This window comes from Homo sapiens, chromosome 6 (genome assembly GCF_000001405.40).
Source record: "Homo sapiens chromosome 6, GRCh38.p14 Primary Assembly".
Lineage (NCBI taxonomy): Eukaryota > Metazoa > Chordata > Mammalia > Primates > Hominidae > Homo > Homo sapiens.
Genome location: NC_000006.12, coordinates 52,711,581 through 52,737,189, shown reverse-complemented (window position 1 = coordinate 52,737,189; position 25,609 = coordinate 52,711,581). Strand labels below are relative to the sequence as shown.

Below are 25,609 nucleotides of genomic sequence, written 5' to 3'. Positions count from 1 at the left end.
CTCAGTCCGAGTCCCAAAACCTCAAAAGTAGGGAAGCAGACAGTGCAGCCTTCAGTGGTTTGCCAGCGACCACTGATATAAGTCCAAGAGTCCTACTCTTCAAGGACTGGAGAGAATGGGGATTGTGCATTCTACACAGAGCTCATACAACAGCCCTGTATGGTGGGCAGGAAAGCCTGATGGGACCTGGAGGATGATGGCTGATTGCTGGGAACTAAATAAGCTGACTTTGGCCAGACATGACACTGTTCCAAATGTGGCTCAAATACTGGAAAGGCTGGCTACTTGTTTAGGTATACGGCATACTGTCTCGGATTTAGCAAAAGCTTTCTTTAGCACCCTTATACCCAAAGTCCCAGAACATGATTTTCTTCACCGGGGAGGACCTTTCAGGTGCTCCCCCAGGGGTACTTGTATAGTCCCACTATCTGCCATGGCTTGGTACCCAGAGACCTGGCCATTTTGAGTGGTATGTCTGGCAGTCTCTGAAATCATTATGTGGAGATATTTTGCTAACTTCTACAGATTTGAGTCCTTTGCAGAAGGTACCCAAAAGACTCTAGAGTACCTGCAATCAAGAGGATGGACTAGCAACCCAAAGAAAGTCCAGGGGCCAGGGGGCACTGTAAAATTCCTGGATGTGATCTGGTCAGGTAAGACCAACAGCCGTGATTGACAAGATACAGGTATACCCATGGCCTCACACCATTATGGAATTACAGCCCTTTGAAGGCCTGTTGGAATATTGGCAGACCTGTGTTCCCCACTTGGCCCAATGTCTCAGACCATTATAGCTCCTGATAAAGAAGGGAGCCCATGGGGTCTGGGGCACTAAAGAAGCCTCATTTACTCAGACAAAGGCCTTAGTGATGCAAGCACAAACCCTGTAAATGGTCATCCCTGAGAGACCATTTGAATTCAATGTTTCTGTGACTGAGGAAAACAATGGGTTGGACCCTCTGGCAGAGAGAGGGTAACCAACAAATGCCCATTGGCTTTTGGTCAGGATTGTTCAGAGGAGCCCAGCAATACTATACCCTGTTGGAAAAAATGAAAACTCCTTGCAGTTTACCAAGTCCTCTTGCAAACAGAGCCGCTACCTGGAGATATGCCAGTGGAAGTAAAAACAGACTATCCTATTAGGGGTTGGATTGATGGCCTATTTGCCAGACCTACATCAGCCATAGAAAAACAGGATTCTGTTTAGATGGTATGCATATCTCGAGCAGAGAAGACACCTTCCCTCCAGCCCTCTGTCTATAGAACTACAGGCCCTGCTGGGACCTGCACAACATACTGATAGATTTAAAATCAATCCCAACACTGCCCCCAGAGAAACCCCATCAAATAAAGGACAGAGATAGGAAAGCACCCAAGGATGCTAGGTACAGAGATGGCTCCAGTGTGGGTCAGCCACCCAGGTGGACCACAGTGGCAATTCAACTAGCCACTGATACGATGCGGGTGGAACCTGGAATTGGGTGGGCAGAGTTACAAGATACCCGGTTAGTGGTTATGGAAAAGCCTGATATAGTTTGGATATTTGTCCCTGCCCAAACTCATGTTGAACTGTCATCCCCAATGTTGGAAGTAGAGCCTGGTGGGAGGTATCTGGATCTTGCGGGCAGATCCCTCATGAATGGTGTATTAGTTGGGGTTCACTAGAGGGACAGAACTGGTAAGGTAGAGAGACAGATATATATCTCCTATATATGAGTCTATTAGAGAGAGTTGGCTCACATAATTACAAGGCTAAGTCCCACAATACACCATCTGCAAGCTGGAGAAGAGAGAACCAGTAGTGGCTCAGTCTGAGTCTGAAAGCCTCACACCAGGGAAGCCAACAGTGCAGCCTTCAGTCTGTGGCCAAAAGCCCGAGAGCTCCCAGCAAGCCGCTGGTGCAAGCCCCAGAGTCCAAAGGCCAAAGAACCTGGAGTCTAATGACAAGGGCAAGAGGAGCGGGAGGAAGAATCCAGCACGGGAGAAAGAAGGCAGCCAGAGGACTTAGCAAGCAAGGTTATCCCACTTTCTTCTACGGGCTTCGTTCTAGCCATGCTGGCAGCCAAAGTGATGGTGCCCCCCCAACATTGAAGGTGGGTCTTCCTCTGCCAGTCCTACTGACTCAAATGTGAATCTCCTCTGGCAACACCCTCACAGACACACCCAGAAATAATACTTTCCCAGCTATCCAGGCATCCTTCAATCCAATCAAGTTTGACATAATCACAAATGGCTTGGGCCATCCCCCTGGTGATAAGTGAGCTCTCACTCTGAGTTCACATGAGAACTGGTTGTTTAAAAGTATATAACACCTCCATCCCCTATAACCAAACTCTGCCTCTTGCTCCTACTTTCGCCATGTGACAGGTAAGCTCCCCCTTTACCCTCTGCCATGAGTAAAAGCTTCCTGAGGCCTCCCCAGAAGCAGATGTTGGTGCTACTCCTCCTGTACAGTCTGCAGAAACATGGGCAAATTAAACCTCTTTTCTGTATAAGTTACCCAGTCTCAGGTATTTCTTTATAGCAATGCAAGAATGGCATTGCTATAAAGAAATAGCCATACCCAGTAGCCCTGTATGTTGATTCCCAGGCAGTCACAAAGGGGTTGACACTGTGGATAACCAATGGGAAAAGGATCAATGGTCTATACATGGAAAGCTGTTGTGGGAGGCAGAACTATGGGCAAGCATTTGGGATCAATTATACCAACCAGGGGCTGAAGTCACAGTGTCCCACATAGCATCTCACCAACAATCATCCCCCAGTGGAAATATAGATGCAGATACTCTCGCCCAAGCCAGGTCAGTGGTCACCTCTGAAGATGCAGATGTAGCACATTGGATACATTGGAGGGGAGGTCATAGCAGGCTGCATACTACTTGAAAACTGGCCCAACAAGCTGGTTTGCCAGTGTCCACACAAGAAATAGAAAAGATAAGACAAAATTGCCCTGTCTGTTGCCAAGCCCAACTTTGGCAAGTGCCAGGGGCCACCAGAAACATAACAAGAGGGGAGAAAGCCATGGACACATGGCAAATAGATTATATTGGCTCATTCCCTAAAAGTAAGGGATATCGATATGCACTCACAAGCGTAGACACTGTGAGTGGCCTCTTGCAAGCATTCCCCTGTGGAAAAGTAAATCAGACATGGACTATACAGTGTTTGCAATGCTTGCAAATCATGTATGGTACCCCAAGAACTATCACCAGTGATCAAATAACACACTGCACAGGCTCCCTAATCCAAGATGGAACTGAAAAAGAGGCAATTTCATCTGCCCTACCACCAGCAGGGAGTGGGATTTATAGAGAGAAAAAAATGGCCTCCTAAAGGAAAAATTTTAAGCTCTTGATAGGACTCTCCTCACTGAGAAGCTGGGTTGTAGTTTTCATGGAAGCTGTTCGTGCCTTGAGTGTGGCCCCCATTGTGGGAAAAATGTCTACTTATGAACATCAGGAAGATGTAAAGAACCTGGTGCTAGCCGTGCAGGTATGGAGAAAATCAGACACTGTCTTCAGAACAGAACTCAGTTCCACACAGAATGCCCTGATTTTGTGCTCCTCTTGTCCCATAACACCTGATCAGGGAACTTTGAGATGAGACCTGGGATAGAAAGTGCCATCGCTTCTTGGCCTTTTGGCTAAGATCAAGTGTAGAAAGTGCCACCAGGCTAGACTGGTGTCCTTCTTTCCTTGAGGTAGGGAGCACCCCTTCCCTAAACCTGACCCCCACTTTCCTTTTTGATACAGGCCCTGGTAGATGCACTGGCAGTGGGCAGGCAGTGCCCCATACTGGTGGGCACTAGTCCAGTGGATCTCACCCAGCCCTGTCACTGTGGAGTCAGTAGCTCCTCCCACACTGGGACAGAGGTCTAGTACAGCCTCCAGGAGAGATTCCCACAGCCTCCTGCCCCACCTGTATAACAAAACTAGTACCAGACCTTCCCTCTGCAATAATCTCAGCAGCCTTATCTTTTTGCTGTTAGCTTGAGCAGCCTTCTCCTTTTCTGTTATATCATTCCCACTAGAGCTTGGATATCCTCAGAGGACATTTTCCTGGGCTAGGCCCATCACCCAACCTGTATGCAAGCCCAATCTAACTGCTGGGTATGTGGTCTTATATCCCTAAGCAGCCAAGGAGAAACTCCATGGTGGACTGAACTGCTACTGAGTGAAAACTGGATCTCTGCAAATGTGGATAACTGAACAATGTAGGGAAAGGGGTATCCTAGATACCTCTGACATCACACACTCAAACATGGGATGTGACACTGAGCAATCCTGGACATAATGTAAGGTTTTCTCTAAACGTGTCCTGCAGGGAGGCAAGCACCAAAGTCAGAACTGCCCTGAAAAACACACACTCCAGCAATAGGGATCATGCTGACAAGTGTGGAATGGCTTTGTATGGCTCACCCCTACAACGGGGATGCTCTCCTGGGTGGCAGAGCTCTATTGGGAATAACATAGTTCCTCTAAGAACACACAGGTAAATGACACCAGGTACCTAGTGTTCCTCCCAACTGCTCAATGCCAACAGATCTTCACACTTAGAGACACTGATTGGTCTGTTACAGACTGGTCTTGTAGGCCGGGAATATATTGAATTGCCCCAAATGGCTCCCAGTGGCTCTGTGCTACTCACTTTTGGTCCTGGCTTCCCCCGGGGATGGCTTGGATGGTGTACCCTTGGCTTCCCATAGCTGCACTCCAGATTCACACCATCCCCGTCCCCCTCAGTCAGCCCATCTGGAAGGTTCAATGGAATAGGTCTATTTTTTCTTTATGGTATTACTTATTGACTGTACCTCTTGTGCCTCCAAGAGGCTCTACTGATATCATGCAGAAGATGGAAACCCTTCAAAGATTTGTCTCCATAGCTTTGAATGACACTGAGAGTGGTTAGGAGGCCTTGAACATTGAGACAGCTGCAATGAGGAAAGTGGTCTACAGAGGGGAGTAGCTCTAGACATGTTAACAGCTGTGCAAGGAGGCATCTGTGCCTTTTTTTTTTTTTTTTTTTTTTTTTTTGGTTTTAAGGAGCAGAGAGTTTAACAGGCAAGAAAGAAAAGAGAAGGCAGAAGGAAGAGGCTCCCCTGTACAGAGACAGAGGGAGGCGGTCTCCAAAGCTGAAAGAGGAGGCCCCAAGTGCTATGGATACCAGCCAGTTTTATGAGTAGGCTGGAGGAGGTGGTGTCTGATTTGCACAGGGCTCAGGGGATTGCTTTGACCAGGCATGTCATTCACGTAGCCTGCGGAAAAAGCTGGCCCTCCCACCCTAGCCTTTTCATATGCAAATACAGGGCACCACCACAATGTTCTACACACATGGGGATATGTGGGGGCGACCTTGCTGCTAGGCACATGGCGGGGCAAGGGCAAGAAGAAGGCAGGAATTGCCATGTTTGAGCGGACCTAGTTTCTAATGGCCTGCATTTGCATATCAAAGGTTGCCTGCCTGGCTCTGCCGGGGCTTTACCAGAAACATTTCCAGAGCAGCTTTAAAAATAAACACTTCTCAAGGACCCCTTTTCCTTTCTATCTGCCTAAAATAATTTCTTAATAACTCCTACAACATGCCCCTCTGTGGAGATGTCACACTAACTGCTGTTAGGGGGTTTTGGGCGATGACTCTTTCTGGCTACTTCCTGCTGAAAAGGGGTGTCGAGTAAGGAACAGCAGCTAGGGCTCCTCCTGGGGTCTATCTAAGAGTCCTCAGAAGAATGCCATGTTCATGTGTGGTTCAGTTTGCAGCACCATTTGGAGTTTGATTGCCCCCAGGCAAGAAGAAAAAATTCGAGTTACAGTATTGAGTATACAGGGTCCAAATATCAATACGAGACATATAAGCAAGAGAGGGCTTAATAAAGGGGTTAACCAATTCCGTAAAGAAGACTGGAATTCATTAAAGAGGGATTGTAGCCACCTAGGGCTGAAGCCTGCATTTTCCCTGAGCCTGTCAATGATTTTGATTTGATCTTTAAGTGCCTGTAGATCGTCCTCTACTTTACTAGAGGTGTTAATCCAAGATATAGAATTTCCCTTTGGGGGTCTATGAAGTTCCTTGGTTTTATTTTCCCAAAGAAGCCTCTGGGTTATGGGCACCCTCCTCTTTCATTTCCTGGCAGAATTTGCAGGATAATTGCCCAGAACTAGCATATTAATCCAGATTTTTTACATTACCCATCCCTTTTTCTTTCTTCCAAGCTGCAGGAAATCACCACTTGATTGACAGGAATAAGCAGGGTTAGTCTAAAATGCAGGAAAAAGGCTTAAAAAAATTAATGAGACTAGGATTTAATGACAAATGTATGATAAGCTTTGGAGTACAATTTTTCTCTCCAGTCCTCATTTTTGGTAAAAACAAATTATGATAGGACCGTATGTGTTGTTCGTAGAATAAACTTTTAGTCTCCTACTTGGCATAATGATTTGCATAAAGTGCAGCAAGAATGGTTATTTCTACATAGGCCTTTTGGATTGGCTTTGATGAAATTCTGTTCCACAAGGAATTTCAGATAAGACTTTTTTTTTTTTTTTTTTTTTTTTTTAAGACGGAGTCTTGCTCTGTCACCCAGGCTGGAGTGCAGTGGCACGATCTCCACTCACTGTAACCTCCACCTCCCGGGTTCACGCCATTCTCCTGCCTCAGCCACCCAAGTAGCTGGGACTACAGGTGCCCACCACTAAGCCTGGCTAATTTTTTGTATTTTTAGTAGAGACAGGGTTTCACCGTGTTAGCCAGGATGGTCTCGATCTCCTGACCTCATGATCCGCCCACCTTGGCCTCCCAAGAGATAAGACTTTTAAAGCCGAACCCAGTCATGGGTTTGTGTCCTCAAATACCTGTGAGTTGGGTGATCCTCTCCACTTGAAGTCCCAAGATAAACTCAGAGCTTCCAGACCTGTTAGAACATGACGTTCTTTACTGACCACAGAACCTGTGCCCTTTTAAAAACTGAATGTTGCGTATGCATCCTAAAGAAGCTGAAGTTAATAAATTCCTCTCTCATTTACAAAAGCAATTACAGCTAATTGGCCACAGGGTGGTTGACTCCTAGTGGTCTATATCATGGTCTGGGGGATGCAGTCCTTGGTGGAAAGCTCTCTTAGTAAGGCTTTTGGGAATTGGTGATTTTAGGTCTTGTCATGTGCATCTGTATTTACTGTTGGTGTAGGTTTTGTTGGCAGTGTTTCATAAACTTAGGGGCAAAGGACCTTATAGGAGATCCCACCCTTTTCTGCCTGCTTAGGAAACATCACAAAAAAGGTGGCCCTGTGAAATTGTAAGAGCCAGTCAGAGAGGTAGACTGTAGGGTCCTCCAGTTCCCTTGCTTTCTTTCTGTGTCCTGACTGCAAATCAGAGTGCCTTGGCCACTCCATGACCCAACCAGCTGCAGGTTTTTCCCAGCAGGCTTAAAGCTAAACCAGGGCCTTGAACATTTGCAGACACTGATAAAGATATCTAGGTTGTTGCTCCAAATACAAAAAGAAACTGGTCCTGGTTCTGAGCCAAACTCCTTAAAGTTTCACATGGATTCCATACCCTGACCCCCTCACTGCGGACTTTTCTAGGTAGAACATGCCTTTTCTTTCATCTGTCATGAGGACTGCTGCAGTACTGTAAGTTCCCCTAGTAAATGCAGTGGACTGATCAACTTAGCATTTAGTGCTTCTTTCTTTGGAATCCCAACTGGCCCACCTCAGAATGAAATTGTGGGAATTCACCTCTGCCACTTTTGGGGTAGTCCAGCCTTCAGTTTGGTGGGATGAAAAAATAAGTAGTAATAAGAAATGATCTCCTTATAAGGACATCAGGAATTGGATTGGGAGCCACCCTTATCCAGTGTGACTTCATCTTAACTAGATTACACCTCCAGAGACCTTATTTGTATCTGGGGTTAGGACTTGAACATACTCAACATACTCTTCTTGGGGAACAAAATTTAACTCACAACTCCATGCTAAGGGATGAGATAATGCTGGGGGTGCACCTGGTCAGGCCACCTCAGCTGGACTCCATGGGTCAGAGGTGGATTCTCAGGGAGGGCAGTCATATCTGACTTGAGATTTGCAGGCAAGACGAGTTGCAGTTATGAGGTAGAGCTATAGTTGGGCAGCAGGGGTGGAATCCTGATGGAGGCTCAGCACGGTTAATGGTGTAAAAGAGAGAGACTGAGCAAGGTGTATTCAAAGAAAGAGAAGACAGTCTGAGTGAAGCATTAAAGCACGAGGTAGCAGGAGTGATGATGAGGTAGGATCCGGGAACAAGGCCCGCAGGCCTAAGGACTTTGAAGGCCATGACAAGAAGTTTGAATTTTGTCCTGAGAAAAGAGGGAGCTGTGGAAGTATACAACTTGCTTTGCCAAACTGGCATCAATAAAATAAAATCACAGCTTTTAAATATTCATTTTCAGTCACTTAAGCATCCATCTCAGAATAGCAAGAACATTCTTTCCCTCTGGGAGTCTCTTTCCTATGTTAAAAGATAAACGTAGGCACATTAAAATTTTAAAGAGTTTATTTTGAGCAGACAGACATTCATGAATCGGGCAGTGCCAAACCACAAGCAATTTGGACTTCATGGAGGGGGTGTGAGGGGAGAACTTTGATAACGTGTTTATGGAAGCAAAACAAAGAAAATATTTGCTTGGTTAAGGTGAAAAGTCACTAGTTAGAAGTTAGTTGGCAGTTTCTGATAGGTTAAGTTTAAGTTTCTTGTTTTCCTAGGATATGACCTTCATGCTGAGTTGAGCTTTAGCTTGCTTACATAAGACTCAAGGCACTGGGGACATCTCAGCCTACTGGCCTCCTAATTAATTAATACCCACATTAAATCCAACAACCTAGGGGCTTATTCCATTCAAGGAGTCAAGTAGCCCTGACACCAGTAGAAAATTCTATCAGTCTCTGCTGCTATCTGCCACATGGAGTTCCTGTTGTCCCATAGACTTCATGATCTGAGGCGGTTTGGTTGAAACACTGGCCACAATTTGTCCACATGAGTCCCAGAATCTTCATTCTCTGTCCCTTCACAAGAAGAAAGAGGAAGTCTCCCTCCCTGCTATCCCTCAGGCCTGGGATCTCAAAATGTAGGTGGATATATAGAGTCATTTTTCTCTGGCATGCCACTGTCCAGGAGAGATGAGGATGGAGCAATTTCTAGCTTCAGCCATGTACTAAGCCCATAACTTATGCTTCCCCAGAAAATCTAAGATCTAGGGGGTTAGACCCAGGGCACTGGTCCCGATTGCACATTTTCATAATGTGAGCTTTGCCACAATTAGGTGTGTTAGGACAGACAGAGACATGGGACTCATGGCTCATGTCTTCTACGTCTACTGAGGGTTAGGTCAATTCAGACCAACCAAGATATTCCAAGATATCTTCCTAAGAGTTTCCCAGTTCCCTTTGCACATTTACCTGCTCCCTCTTCAGCAGATAAATATCCCAACGGTAGACTCTTATACTCTCACTCTGCAATAGAGTTTTCAACCTGATCATACCCAGCCTTCCCCAGTTTACAAGAGATATTTTATAATTTATTATTATTATTATCATCCTGAAGTGAACCTTGTAAGATTTACCTCACAATGGTTGCTGCTGGGAATACAAGATGAATAAGGTATAATAATCCTAGCCTTTGAGGGGTGCATAATTAACCCCAAGGAAAAAGATTTGCATATAAAGAATTACGAGTCAATATGTAAATTTGTATTAAAGAAGTTCCTGCAGGTGGCAAAATGACCACTCAAAAAGAGTGGCTGAAGAGGCCAGGTGCAGTCGCTCATGCCTGTAATCCCAGCACTTTGGGAGGCTGAGGCGAGTGAATAAGTTGAGGTTAGGAGTTTGAGATCAGCCTGACCAACGAGGCAAAACCCTGTCTCTACTAAAAATACAAAAATTACCCGGCATGGTGCCGCACACCTCTAGTCTCAGCTATTCTGGAGGCGGAGGCAAGAGAATCGCTTGAGCCAGGAGGTGGAGGTTGCAATGAACCAAGATTGTGCCACTGCACTCCAGCGTGGGTGACAGAGCGAGACTCCATCTCAAAAAAAACCAACCAAACAAACAAAAAGAGTGGCTGAAGAAAGTTTAATGAAATACCTATTGTATTAGTCTGACCTCATGCTGCTACGAAGAAATACCCAAGACTAGGTAATTTATAAAGGAAAGAGGTTTAATTGACTCACAGTTTCACATGGCTGGACAGGCCTCAGGAAACTTACAATCACGGTAGAAGGCACCTCTTTACGGGCAGCAAGGGAGAGAATGAATGCCCAGAGAATGGGGAAGCCCCTTATAAAACCATCAGGTCTTGTGAGAACTAACTCACTATCATAACAGAATGGGGGAAACTGCCCCCATGATCCAATTATCTCCACATGGTCCCTCCCATGACACATGCGGATTATGAGAACTACAAGTCAAGCTGAGAATTCGGTGGGGACACAGCCAAACCATATCACCTATTTACAAACTGGGGAAGGGTTAAACTACTACAACGGATGATGAAGCACTCTGGGGCTCTCCTTTCCCTGGCCTTCATTGAGACAAGAGCAGAAAGCAGTTCAGGGATCTAGGAAAACACTGAGAGTCACAGCTGCAGGAAAAGTCTGCACCAACAGGAGCTGATGGCTTTCATAGAGAGAGATCCACTGTCAACCTAAGTAGCCCTGAAGACACGGTCAGTTTATAAATGACTGGACATTATGACAATAATTTATTACTGATTTGCTATAAAGTGTTATCCATTTTATGCTATATATAGTTTAGCATAGCTAGAAAATAAAGGGAAATTTATTTTTAATTTTGGGTATATATACAGATTTATATATTATATTTACCATACCAGATGTTAAACATTCTGACTATCACTCCTGGGTAGTCTGTGACATAAAAGTATGAAGATTTTTGTTAAGAAGTAATTAACATTTGGTATTTAATACTTACACCATCCGCCATTTTAATAGTGAGTTTATATATATATGTGTGTGTGTGTGTGTATAACTGAAGTGGATATTAATTTCTCTGCACTGGGGGAATTGGGTCAATATTTGAGCCATTAGGTATACTGACTTGCCAGTTTTCTGGGATATTCTTGAAGAACAAATATGTTTTAGCAACATTCTGCCAATTAGAGCTGCTTAGATGAGGCAGCTGTGAGTCAGCACAAATTTAATCTGTGTTGACTTTGCTCTGCCTTGCCTCCTACCTTTCTCCAATCTTTACTCACCTTCCCTCTGCACACAGCAGCTGTTTCAATATATTTGTCCTTTGAAACTTTGAATACAGTTGCAACATTCTAAGTCAACAGGGCAGCTAAGTATACCTAGCAGAAAAATTAGACTTTAACCTCAGAAATTGACAAAATCTTCTCAAGGATTATGGTTCCAATAAATACTGTTTAAAGTATTTTATTCATAGTTCTATTCAATAAAAGTTTATAGAGCACCTACTTTGTTCCCTGAATTGTTTTAGGCACAGAGAATGCCAGGAAAGACTAAGTCCTGAATGACAGGAACCAGAAGATCCAGTGAGCGAGGGTCTTAGTCAGAGGGAACAATGAGACAGGGTGTTGGTCAGGAACAAGTTGGGTGTGTTTTAGGTACACTAGTGTTGTGGGAGCAAGGCGAGGAAGTATTGAAAGATGAGGCCAGCATGGGTGTATTAGTTATCAATTGTTATATACCAACTCACCCCGAAGTTTAGGGACTTAAAGCAATAAATATTTATTATCTCACACAATTTCTGAAGGTCAGGAATCTGGGAGCAGCTTAGCCGGGTGGTTCTGAATCAGCATTTCTCAGGACGCTGCAATCAAGTCACTAACAGGCTGTGTCAGCTGAGGGCTTGACTGGGATCTGTTTCCATGATGGCTCACTCACATGGCTGTTGGCAGAGGCCTCAGTTCCTCTCTGAAAGTTGGCAATACATCTCACTTCTTTGGCATGCCTGCTTCTGTGTAGGACTGCTTGAGTGTCCTCAGGACATGGCAGCTAACTTCCCCTGGAGTATGTAAGCAAGAGGGAAACTACAATGTCTTTTATGACCTAGTATTGGAAGTTACACCTCTGATGATAGAGAAGGGCTGAGGACATCGCCTCGGGGGAGATAGCAGTTGGAGAAGAGAAGGCTGGGTGGAGCCAGCGAAGGCGTCTGAAGAGGAGGGGTCAGTGAAGTAGAAGGAAGTCCAAGAAAGTGTGGCATCATGAGGCCAACAGTCCGGCAAGAGGATGGAAGAGTGGACATTGAATTTGGTACCACGGAGGCTACTGCTGACCCGAGGAGAGAAGATGGGGACACAAGCCTGACTGGAGTGGGTTGAGGAGAAAATGGGACGTGAGGTAGAGGAGACAGCAGCTACCGGCAGCCGTTTTGAGAAATTTTGCTCCGAAAAAGGGCATATGGTTGGGACAGTAGACTTTCTCAGTGATCTAAAAGAGGAAGGGAAGGTTGAGTAGGCTGAGCTCAGTTTCATTTGCAATTGTGGAAAGTCACCTAAGAGTGGCTGAGTCTGTGCACTGAACTCTTTACAGCCACCAGGGAGGTCCCTTGGCTCTGGGCAGTGCGCCATCTGGTGCTCAGTCATGGAGTCAGCGTTAGACTGACACAGTAGGTTGGGCAATCCCTTTGCTGGAACAGAGACTTTTTTTCTCATAAATTTTAAATCCAAGTTGGAGTAAATTGCCAAAAGAACAACTAAAAAATGCTGACTGAAAGGCAGAGGTGCAAAGTTCTCCTCACTTCCTTTTAACCCCTTCCAATTTATTCCATTTTGTCTTTCTTATTCCCTCATCCTCTTCACCTTAATCCATGAGTCTCTCTGTATTTCCTTTTCCACTGTCCATTTCTATGACGCAGAATCTAACGATGCAGCTACAAGCCAAGAAACACCAAAGATTGCTGGCAGCCACCAGAAACCAAGAGAGAGGCTGGGAACAGATTCTCCCTTAGAGCTTCCAGAAAGAACCAGCTTTGCTGACCTCTGGATTCTGGACTTCTAGCCTCTAGACATGTGCAAGAATAATTTCTGCTGTCTAAGCCACCTAGTTTGTGGTAATTTGTTAGAGTGGCCACAGGAAAAGAATTCAACTACTTTGCAATAAAAAAAGGAATGAATACATAAAAAAGCACAGATGAATTTTGAAATAATTGTGCTGTGTGAAAGACACCAAACAAACAAAATACCTGCTGTATGCTTCTAATTATATAAACTTCTAGAAAATGCAAACTAACTCATTGTGACAAAAAGCAGATGAGTGGTATGGGGCCAGGCAGAAGAAAGGGATTTCCAAAGGGCATGAGGATGTGAATAAGTTCAGTATCATGATTATGATGATAGTCTCATAGGTGTATATGTGTGTTAAAACTTATCCAATTGAGGCTGGGTGTGGTGGCTCACTCCTGTAATCCTAGCACTTTGGGAAGCCAAAGCAGACGGATCACTTGAGGCCAGGAGTTCAAGACCAGCCTGGCCAACATGGTAAAACCCCATTTCTACTAAAAATACAAAAATTAGCTGGGTGTGGTGGCACACTCCTGTAGTCCCAGCTACTTGGGAGGCTGAGGCATGAGAATCACTTGGACTCAGGAGGTGGAGGTTGTAGTGAGCTGAGGTCACACCACTGCATTCCAGCCTGGAGGCAACAGAGCGAGTCTCGTCTCAAAAACAAAAACAAAACTGAAAAACTTATCCAGTTGTACACTTAACTCTGTACACTTTGTTTTTTTTTTGAGACAGTGTCTCGCTCTTGTCGCCCAGACTGGAGTGCAGTGGCCTGATCTCAGCTCACTGCAACCTCCTTCTCCCAGGTTCAAGTGATTCTCCTGCCTCAGCCTCCCAAGTAGCTGGGATTACAGGCGCCCACCACCACGCCCAGCTAATTTTTTGTATTTTTAGTAGAGATGGGGTTTTGCCATGTTGGCCAGGCTGGTCTCAATATTTCATATATATATAATATATTGCATATAATACATTATATAAAATACACATATATTTTAAAGTATCAATTATATCCCCTAATACAGTAATAAAACCAATAGATGCAAATAAACAATCACAAATCTATTATGTACATAAGCAAGCTGTACAATCCTTCTGCTCTCCAGCTGGTCTCTTCAGCTGCCTCTGTCCTTTGGAAGGCTTCCTTCTGCTTAGAAACAGGCCCAGGCCTCCACTGTCCTAACCTTCTTAGCCATGCACCCACACTCCTCAGAAGAAACCAAGAAACACTCCACAACAAATTTTTAAAGTTCTTTATCCTTGGCTAGTTTTCCCTTTTGCTATTTCCTTCTTTCTTTTCACGTCCAAAACTTGAGTAGTCTGCATTCTAGCTCTACTTCCTCTCTCAAAGTCTTGAATTTTAAATTCTTTTTTTTTTTTCCTTTGAGATGGAGTCTCGCTCTGTCGCCCAGGCTGGAGTGCAGTGGCACAATCTCGGCTCACTGCAAGCTCCGCCTCCCAGGTTCTCGCCACTCTCCTGCCTCAGCCTCCCGGGTACCTGGGACTACAGGCGCCCGCTACCACGCCCGGCTAATTTTTTGTATTTTTAGTAGAGACGGGGTTTCACCGTGTTAGCCAGGATGGTCTCGATCTCCTGACCTCGTGATCCTCCAGCCTCAGCCTCCCAAAGTACTGGGATTGTAAGCATGAGCCACCACGCCCGGCCAAATTTTAATTTCTTAATCAATGAACTAATCATCTTAGTTCTATGAGTTTCAAGGTCTTTTCTCAGTCTATCTTTAACTTTTATACTGCAAATACCAGGCCAAGCTCCCTTTCCATCAGCAACTTTCTGCCGCAGTCTCCCACCCTTCACCAAGCACTAGTGCTCAGATTTTCCTGTGGCTCATTTTTTCTTAGTTTCATGATTTATATATCTTCTTTGCCAACATGTTGTCACATGGATCCCACCCAGTCCTGCTTCATGTCAAAAGGCCAGGATTTTCTTGAAATAAATAACAAGTTATTAAGGACAGCCCTCCTGCCTCCATAGCACAGTCCTGTGAAGAAAGCTATGAAAAGATTACCGAGGCTGACATTGGGTAGTGAACACAGTATTTAGCAGGGCAACTTGGATGTGCCTCCAGAATGGCATGACCACTATTCCACTCATTGCACTCCACTCCTTATCTTGAAATGTTCTCCCCACTGCTCTCTGCCAGTCTGTATCAACTTCTTCTCCATCATGACACCTTCACAAATACTGGACATTCCAACAAGGGGTCTTTGTAGATCTGTGTTTCTTTCCATGCTGCTCCCACGTCCTCAAGTGATAGTTTTGTCATTCTAATATTGGGGAAGATATGGAAGAGGATGGCAGTAGTGGTGGAGAAGCAGCTCTCACACAGTAGGAAGGTGGCTATTACGTATTGTAGGTGAAAGCCAGGACTCATGCATCTGAGATGAGGATGCACTGAAGCTGGTTAAAATTCTGTTATTATACATCCTCAGCCTATTGTTCTACCTCAAGACCCATGCATGCTTTCTTCTAAGGTTGCCCTCAATACTGGTTGTTCTGGTATTGTAAGGAAACAAAGAAGGAAGAATCAAGCATCAAAACTCAACACCTCTAGTTCTCCCCTTTAGTTTACAGATGAAAGCACTGGGGTTCAGAGAGGTTGAGATTTATCTAAGGACACAAAGCTGATCAATGGTAGAATCAGCCTAGAACCCAGGTCTTCAGAATCACTAGCAAGAGCCTTTTCCATTTATCCATTGATTCAGCAAATAATTTTTTTAGTTCTAATCTATAAAATGTTGCACTAGGACAGAGATACAGTGCTGAACAAGATGGGACAAAGGCCTTTGACCTCAAGGAATTCACATTGTAGTGGGAGGAGACAGACTACAAACAAAAAAGAAAGAGTGATAAATATCTCAATAATTATAGCCTATGATTGGGATGTGAAGAAAATTAAGCAGGGACTATGTATTAGACTGTTCTCAGGCTGCTAATTAAAAGACACACCCAAGCCTGGATAATTTATAGAGGAAAAAGGTTTAATAGACTCACAGTTCCACATGCCTGGGAAGGCCTCACAATCAGGGAGGAAGGCTAAAGGCATGTCTTACGCTGCAGCAGTCAAGAGAGAATGGGAACCAAGTGAAAGGGGTTTCCCTTTATAAAACCATCAGATTTCGTGAGACGTATTCACTACCACGAGAACAGTATGAGAAAAATGCTCCCGTGATTCAGTTATCTCCCAGCGGGTCCTTCCCACAACATGTGGGAATTATGGGAGCTACAATTTAAGATTTGGGTGGGGACAGAGCTAAACCATATCAGACTATAATAGAGAGTAGTTGGGGAGAGCTTTACTTTAGATGGATGGTGAGGGAAACATAAAAATTGAGAGAAAACTAAGTATGCAAAGAGATGGAAGGGAGGTTTTGGGGCAAAGGAACCAGCATTTTCACAGGTTTGAAGAGAGAAAGTACTCAGTGTCTCTGTGTACCCCAAGCCCCTGGAGCTTGGCTGAAGAGTAGAGGGCAGAGGTGTGGCTTGAGGAGGGGGGTGGGAGGTGGTAGATGACTCACTGCTGTAAGTCCCGTCAAGGAGTATGGATTTTATTCTAGGTGAAATGGGAATCCAAAGGCTGGCCCTCTTCCATGCAGATTTTGCCCAGAAGACACAGTATTTTGGGAGGTATGGTTCCACACTACAGCTATTTGAAAGCATAACTGAAACTTATGAGGAAAAATCCATCTGCTTCTGTACCAAAAAAAGAATGAAGATAAAACTGAAAATCAGTCATAGTGTGTGGATTTGCCAAACTAAATTAAATTACTTTTCTGGAGTCTAGTGGATAAGTGTCTTAGTCCATTCAGTGGCTGGAATAAAATGCCGTAAACTGAGGTGTTTATAAACAACAGAAATTAATTTCTCACAGTTCTGGATGCTGAGAAGTCCGAGGTCAAGGCTCAGGCAGGTGTCTGGTGAGGGCCTGTTTCTTCGTAGACGGTGTATTAGTCCGTTCTCACACCACTATAAAAATACTGCCCAAGACTGGGTAATTTATATAGGAAAGAGGTTTAATTGACTCACAGTTTCACAAGGCTGGGGAGGCCTCAGGAAACTTACAATTACAGCAGAAGGCAAAAGGGAAGCAAGGCCCTTCTTCACATGGTGGCAGGAGACAGAAGTGCAAGCGGAGGAAATACCAAACACATAAAACCATCAGATATCGTGAGAACTCACTCACTATCATGAGAATAGCATGGGGGAAACTGTTCCCATGATCAGATCACTTCCCTCCCTTGACACATGGGGATTACAATTCAAGATGAGATTTGGGTGAGGACACAGAGCCAAACCATATCAGACAGTGCCTTCTTACTGAGTCCTCACATGGTAGAAGGGGCCAGCAAACTCCCTTGGGCCTCATTTATAATGGCCCTAAAGGCACTAATTCCATTCATGAGGCTCTGTCCTCATGACCTAGGCACCTCCCAAAGGCCCCACTTCTTAATGGCATCACCTTGGAGATTAGGTTTCAACATATGAATTTTAGGGGGACACAAACATTCAGACCATAGCAATAAGAATGTTGGTAAAATTTCTAAAATAAATGAATTATGCTGACACAAACAGGGCAGCTACTAACTCATAACTATAACTGAGACTGCTATTTGCCAGATACAGCTCACAGAGAAGGTAAATGTCAATCGAAACATTTTAACAGAACAATTTAAATATACTCCAAGAGCATCCCCCTTAAACTCACCAAATCATTTCAAAACTAAAAGCAGACCTGTGAATGTGGTTAATTGCCTCTAATATCATGTTTTATAAGTTAGTATTTTTATGTTAAGTTTTCTTAAAATGAAGCTTCCAGTATAAGGATGCCTGTTTGAACTTAAACATATGGTCCACACACATACACATACATGAAGAAAACGTGTACCAAATGTTTAAGGGCTGAATTGCACTGAATTATGAAGTTCCATGATTTAAGATTCACAATTTTAAAACATTGGATTAATATGTAACATGTCATTGGGACTTCTTACAAAAAGAATTGATTTTGCTTAATTTTTTTTCAATACAGTTTAAATAAACTAACTTGTTTGCTTATCTAGCTATCTCCGATTATTTTACAAAGCTTTATTTTCCACTGTTGGTAACAATTTAGTAACTAGTGCCAAGCAATGTCCTGCAAGGAGAGTGAAGTGCAGACCTTTCTAAGTGAGACCAGTATGTGCCGAGGCACCATCTTCATGGGAGCAAAAAAATCCCACTTTATATCACAAGCAGGATATAAAGATTTTCTATAAACCAGAAAATATGTATTCAATATTCAAGGAACCATGAGCTTGTACTGTGTGCTAGCTTACTGGATTGACTTTTTAATGTAATGGAAAGTCTTTATTCTTCCTCTGAAATTGCCCAAGAATCCTCATTACTAAAAGCCAGTTTGAGTAGAAAGCAGAATGGAGGCATAATGCCAAGATGACTGATGATACATTTCCAGAATCCTAGGCTGAGGATAAACATAATTTTAAAAGGCATGTAATTACTGGTCTATTTAATTCCTTTTATTCTTACACCTGTTAAAGATGGAATTATTGCCTTTGATTTTTTATTTTAGAGGCACACTTGAAAGCTGTGAAATTACCTACTTAGCAGCTTTGCCTGCTTGCTAAAGTTCTTCTGGTTAGAACAAGGTAAATGCAGAGTAATTACTTCTCATCTCTCCTTTTTTGCAAATAGGTAGAGGGAAATGATTGATGTTCATAGTCTATTGAGTCTTTTTTTTAATAATTTCCCTCAAATAAAAGATAGATTTGGAAGTAGTTACAAAAGGAAAGAAAGAGCTAGAGAAAGCTGGTGCAAGATGATATTCTATTAATACCGATTGCTTGGAGCTCTGTTTGATGCCATTTGACTGAGGAAGTCACCACTTTCTCTCAAGCAAAAAGTTCAGTTGTTAAAAATGCAGGAAATATTCTAGAATGTGCTTACTATATGCTTAAAACTTAAGTCACAGATACTGAGAATTATTTTCAATTTATCCTAAGCTTAAAATAAAGCGAGAGCTTACATTAAAGCCAAAATCACAACTAAAATGATTTAAAATGAATTAACCTGATTTATTCAGTTATAGCTAAATACTCTCATTATTCTCTCACCTCAAATCAATAATAGATACTAATTTGAATGAATAGGCTAGAGATTTGCCATTCTATTCTAGATGTATAAATAATTTTTAGAATAATAGACATATGAACACACACTATGAAAAATATATTTCTAAATAAATTAGCAGTCTGTTTCTCATGTTTCAAACTTTCATTTTGAGTTTATTTGAATTTTTTTGGGGGGGAGTGGATAGGGTCTCACTCTGACACTCAGGCTAGAGTACAGTGGTGTGATTATGGCTTACTGCAGCCTCTGCCGTAAGAGATCCTCCTGTGCTCAAGTGATCCACCTCAGCCTCCCTAGTAGCTGGGACTACTGGCACTCACCACCACACCTGGCCAATTTTTGTATTTTTTCTGTAGAGACAGGGTTTCACCATGTTGGCCAGGCTGGTGTCAAAGTCCTGGGCTCAAGTGATCTGCCCGCATTGGTCTCCCAAAGTGCTGGGATTACAGGCCTGAGACGTTGCACTTAGCTTATTTGAATTCTTTGTAGCTCTTTTTTGGTTACATGGTTAATTGAAGTCGTTTCATATAAATTACTTAGTTTTGATTTGTACTTTTATATAATTGTATGTTCTTCAAATTATCAGAATGATAATACATCTTTTTGAAGATGACCCACTCATAACCTAGCTTCATTTTATTTTAGGAGAGAAACACTCAATAAAAGCCCCTAAAAGTCAGGACATTTTGACTTGAAATATTTAATCCAGGCAATAAAGCTAGACACTTGGATTTAGAATTTAAGATTTAGAAAAGCTTCAAACATTGTCAGTCTTGCTTTTTCAGAATAAATCTTATTCAGGCCATCTTTCTGGGATTCTAAAACTCAGATCTCTCAGAGCCTCAGATATCGTTGTGAAGAACAGACTTTTTAATACAAAACAAGATAATATTCCCTCTGCTCCTTGTAATATAAATGCATTTGTTGTGCAGCTTACTTTTTTTTATAATTGATATTGTACAGATTGTTAAAATTGATTATAAGCAATGTCCACTCTGGAAAGGAAACATTGTGTTATAAATGGAAAGAGAGACGAATTGGTTCACAAATTCAAGTGTGCAAGACTGTATATTTCTAAAACTGAGTTTTGTTGTGAAGAACAGACTTTTGAATACAAAACAAGACAATATTCCCTCTGCTCCCTATGATATAAATGCATTTGTTGTGTGGCTTATTTTCTTTTTTTAATTGATATTTTACAGATTATTAAAATTGATTCTAAGCAATGTCCACTCTGAAAGCGAAACATTGTGTTCTATGTGGAGAGAGAGATGAGTCAGTTCACAAATATATTTCTAAAACTGAGTTTAATTTCTATTTTGAGTCCCATTTCATCAGGTAACATAAACCAAATTTAACCCAACTAAATCTGTTGGGTCTCTTCCCCAACACACATGCTCAATTTTTTCTAGGGTTCCATCTAAGTTCCTATCCTGTCCTCAACAGACATCTGTCCACACAGGAGCCTGCCAAGACATTCTCATTCCCATCTAGTCTCTAGGTGATAGTCTTTGCAGATGACTGCAATACCCACTTCATTAACACCACCAGGTCTGTTTCATTTGGAACTGTACATTGCTGGAACAAGGAGAGCTCTGAGGCTGTCTCAAGCCTATCAGCCTAGGCACAGCACCCAGGCATTTCTACTTAATGCTAGTGAGTCATCTGAGTTTTCAAGAAGTAATACAATGTTTCCCATGGTCTCAGATACCCTAAACTGTACTGGGAGCCTGGCATGTCTTATCTGCCTCCTCCAAAATTTGATGAGTCTGATGTGAGAAAAGAGAAGGGTTTCCTATCAACTTGAGTGTCTACAGTCTCTTTCTTCCCCCTGTAACTCTCTTCCTCTACCTCATTTCCAGAGGGTAGCTACACTGTTCACCAATTCTTCTAAATCATTTGTTTTTGGCACTTGCTGATTGGAAATAGCAGTAAATTCTTTGGCCTTTCTCCTAAAGAGAGGTGGGGTATAATTCCCTCCCCTTGGGTCTGGGCTGACCTTGGTGACTTACTTAAAACCAACAGTACCAACAGTATGATGACAATACCACCGTGTGACTTTTGAAGCTAGATCAGAAGAAGTCTTGCAGTTTCTGCTTTGGTCTCTAAACACTCACTCTCCACATGCTTCCTCCAGGACCCAGCCACCATGGCTGTGAGAAGCCCAAGCAATGTCCAGAGGCCACAGATGAGTACTTTAGTCAAGAGCTCCAGCTGAGCTCTTAGCCAAAAGGCAGCATCCATTGCCAGCCTATGAGGAAGCCTCTCAGATGCTCAGCACACACAAGCCTTCGGTTGGTTCCTGTTCCAGTCAACATCTGACTGACACTTCATGAAAGACCTGAGGCAAGAATCACTCAGCCGAGCCCTTCCCAATTCCCAAACCACGAAATTGTGAGCAAATTTAAATGACTGTTTTAAGCTACTGAATTTTGGTGTAATGTTTTATGCAGCAATAGATAATCAGAACATGGAATATATTTTGCACATTTTGAGGCTCAAAATCCAGGCTTTTGCAACTCCAAAGTCTCAGCATTTTCATTTATCTGATACTCGATGAGTTGGGAATTTGCAAACTGATTCATCTCTTTCTCCATATATAACACATTTCCTTTCCAGAGTGGACATTGCTTAGAATCAATTTTAACAATCTGTACAATATCAGTTATTAACTGGGAGAATTAACTTGGAGAGACAATGGGTAGATGGAAATGTGATGAATAGCGTGGGGCTCCAGTGGATGGAATCCTTGGTTGCCTCTAGACATTCTCCCACTGCAAGGGTATGTGTGACATGTTATATGTGAGTGAAGTGTTTTTTGTGTTTCCTACAAAAAGGGATAGGTTTTTATCCTTTAAATAGAAAAAGGCTGGGTGTGGTAGCTCATGCCTGTAATCCCAGCACTTTGGGAGGCCAAGGTGGTCAGATCACTTGAGGTCAGGAGGTCGAGACCAGCTTGGCCAAAATGGCGAAACCCCATCTCTACTAAAAATACAAAAAATTAGCTGGGCGTGGTGGCGCATGCCTGTAATCCCAGCTACTCGGGAGGCTGACGTATGAGAATCGCTTGATCCTAGGAGACTGAGATTGCAGTGAGCCGAAGTCGTACCACTGCATTCCAGCCTGGGTGACAGAGCAAAATTTTGTCTCAAAAAAAAAAAAAAAAAGAAAAGAAAAAAAGGAAAAGAAAAAGATTATTAGAAGGCTGATATGAAAAGCAATATAACTATCATAATTTAGCTATTCTCAGGGTTTGGAGCATGCTGGGACTATAAGAACTCTGCAGTGGCAGGTGGCGGGGAGGGAATCAATTCAGATGGTGTGCACACCCACTTTTGTCAAACACTGTTTAGGGAGTAAGTACTAGGCTTGTAAAGGAACCTTGGAGAAAGTAGCACAGCAATTCAACTGATGAATGAGCAGGTTCTACTCATTTCTCTTTTATAGGTGCTGGCAGATAATGAACAACATGCTTTCCAGATCCAAGGAAGAGTTGATTCATAAGGCTCTTCCCAGTTTAATGCAATGATGCACTGCAATTACATTTCTTGGTGCCCTCTTTCAATCTCCTCACCTCTCCCTGTCCACTAGTTTTGTTTTACTCTGTTTATCAATTGTTCCTCTCTTCATGTGACACAATATGTCTGTCCCACAGTCGCTGAGCTTTTGTGCTTCAGTTCCAGTCACACATGCAGCTGCTCGAAGACTCAGTGCCAACTTCCTAGGATGAAGATGGACTTGGTTTCAATTGGTGACTCAATGGACCTGGAAAGCCCACCTTGGCTGGGGTATGGTTTATATATCACAATTATGACTGGCAGGAGCCCATCACCCCTATGCAGGAGGTGGGACAGGCAGAGCAGTTCTCAGAGAAGGGGCATCATTGTGGACAGGGCGGGGGTTCCAAAGTTGTCTACTTGGTCCAGTGTCTTCTACATAACAAATACTCAGTAAACCATATCTGTTATGAGAAAGACATTAGGTAACATGTACTATGGATCTTAGTAAATTTCCTGAAAAGTCTCCATTTGGCTGGGGGCACCTCAAAGACATTCATGTGGGCAAAAATGTAAGAACTTATTTCCTCAATGCCCAGACTGACTCACTACAGGATCTCTCCAACCCAGGGTCTTTATCAGAACATCATCAAGGTTGACCCACCTTCTAGAATGTTCATAAATGCAATCATCTGGTCCAGCATAATTATCAACCAGGAGAAGTAATCATTTTGGGACGTAAACATCCCTGGAGAGAAGACTTTGTCCTAAATCAGAACAACAGCTGGCAGATATTGGGTGCTTACTCTTTGCCTGTCACTTGATCGGTCCTTTGAGAATATTCTTCCTTTGAATGCTCACATTAATCCCATGGTGGTAAGTATGACCATTTCTATTTCCCAGATGGAGAAAGTGAAGTTCAAAGGTGAAGCAACTTCTTAGCAAATAAAGAGCCAGGTAGGATTCAAACCCAGATCTGTCTGTTGAACTTCTCAACACACTTGCCCGGAAGCACAAGGCCCTGCCTGCCCATGGCCCTCTGGAAGCCTCAGGGCACAGTGCCTCTCAGCCTTTCTTCCCCAGCTGACACAGTGTGCCACTGTAGCCTACCCCACCATGTTTTCTCTCCATCTCTGCAGAGGGTACTTGTTATGTTGTCCAGGATTCCCCTTGTGTCCACACCTCCCTGAAAAAGAAATAACTGGTAACTATGCCTCTTCCCTTGCCATCCTAGGAGTTCTCGCAGGAATTGCAATGTTCCACTACAACACTATTCCTCCCTCTCTTCACAGGCAATGGGTATCTAAGGAGTAGGCTCTAGATCCCAGCTAAGGTGATCAGCTACTTGTCCTGCATTTTTGGAATTGGGGTCAAGAGATGCAACAAGTTCTCTCTCCAATTGCTGTAGCTCTAATATGTAAAACTTAGGAGCTTCCAATGTACACTTGCCACGTACAAGGAAATGAACAGAGAGGAGCAGAGATGAGGAACAGAGATAGGTAGAGTTCTGTGGGGGGCCAGTCCCTGGTCCTGGTTATCATACAATTTTGTGACTGCAGACTGATACACAGTAGGCCACCAGGCTGTCAACTTCATGAGAGCAAGGATCACTCTGGTTTTGATTATTATTGTACCTCTAGTGCCTAGCATTGGTTCCTGGTGGCACACAGCAAATTGTTGTTGAATGAGTGAATGACACATTTTATTAATGTCTCCTATTTTTCTCCCTTCTTTCCTTACATAGGGAGACCCCTGGTCTCAGGAAGTTTGATGAAATCTATTATCCAAACAGTCCTTGTTATTAACAACATTGTTCATTATTCACTCACCCAACTGAAAACACAGCATTCAACCACGGAGAACCTCCAGTGAGCCAGGCATTTCTAGAAACTGAAAAAATCCCAAAGAACATGGTCATTGAGATGCTTCTATTCTAGGCATGGGGGGAGGTGGGAAGGATAGGCCTCTAACATGTAATCAGTATTTTTCAGGCCATTCAGCATGGGCTACAATTGGTTGACAACAACACAAACCCAATACTATTTCTCTGGCTATAGCTTCACCTCACAGAGGTCCCTTGTATTTACCCCTCTTCCTGACAGGCACCCCAAAAGCTCCCATTCTTGTCCTGCTGTAGCTACCTACAGCTCCATGAACTCCTCCCACAGACAGGAAGAGCAGTTCCCAGCTCTGTATGCCATCCAATGGCTCGTATATTAGTCAGAGTTCTCCAGAGAAACAGAACAAACAGGATACATATACACATATAACTGGAGATGTATTACAGGAATTGGCTCACGCAGTTATGGAGGCTGAGAAGTTCCAAGATCCACCATCTGCAGGCTAGAGAACCAGGGAAGCTGGTGGTGTAATTCAGTCCAAGTACTAAGGCCTGAGAATCAGGAGACTAAATGGTGTAAGTACCAAAGCCTGAAAAACAGGAGCATTGATGTCTGAAGTCAGAAGAAGATGGATGTTTCAGCTCAGGCAAAAAGAGCAAATTCATCCTTCCTCTACCCCTCTGTTCTATTTGGGCCCTCAGTTGATTGGATGATGCTGGCCCAAATTGGTGGGGGTAATTTTCCTTACTCAGTCTTCTGATTCAAATGCTAATCTCTTCCAGAGACATCCTCACAGAAACACCCAGAAATATTATCTTACCAGCTATCTGAGCATCTCTTAGCCCAGTTGAGTGGACATGTACAATTAGCCATCATAGTTTGCCGCTCTGCCTAGCCCTATCTGGTTGAGATAGGCCACAATCTCAGATGTCTAGACCTTCTCTGTCAGAGGCATATCTTCCTTGCTGCTCTGAGCCTGGCAGCCTCTCACCTACCTGTTCTTTAGATCTCAGAAGACCTCTGAGAATGCTCACCTCTTTGTTCACCCTATATGGTCTAAAAAGGGGAGACATGAATAATCCACCCCTCGTTTAGCATATCATCAAGAAATAACCATA

The 25,609-nt window shown here is 43.3% G+C and overlaps 3 annotated features.

Annotated features, from left to right (window-relative positions):
• Positions 12,535–12,584: a silencer, noted in NCBI's record as "silent region_17286". NCBI's record gives its function as "represses an Ori minimal core promoter by ATAC-STARR-seq in GM12878 lymphoblastoid cells {active_cell/tissue: GM12878}" and the evidence as "EXISTENCE:reporter gene assay evidence [ECO:0000049][PMID:35858748]".
• Positions 14,633–14,747: a silencer, noted in NCBI's record as "fragment chr6:52587241-52587355 (GRCh37/hg19 assembly coordinates)". NCBI's record gives its function as "represses an EF-1alpha promoter that drives an FKBP-Casp9 reporter gene in an ReSE screen in HepG2 liver carcinoma cells {active_cell/tissue: HepG2}" and the evidence as "EXISTENCE:reporter gene assay evidence [ECO:0000049][PMID:32094911]".
• Positions 23,176–24,375: an enhancer, noted in NCBI's record as "BRD4-independent group 4 enhancer chr6:52577613-52578812 (GRCh37/hg19 assembly coordinates)". NCBI's record gives its function as "activates an origin of replication core promoter dependent on BRD2, P300/CBP, MED14 and CDK7 cofactors, and independent of BRD4, by STARR-seq in HCT116 cells {active_cell/tissue: HCT116}" and the evidence as "EXISTENCE:reporter gene assay evidence [ECO:0000049][PMID:35650434]".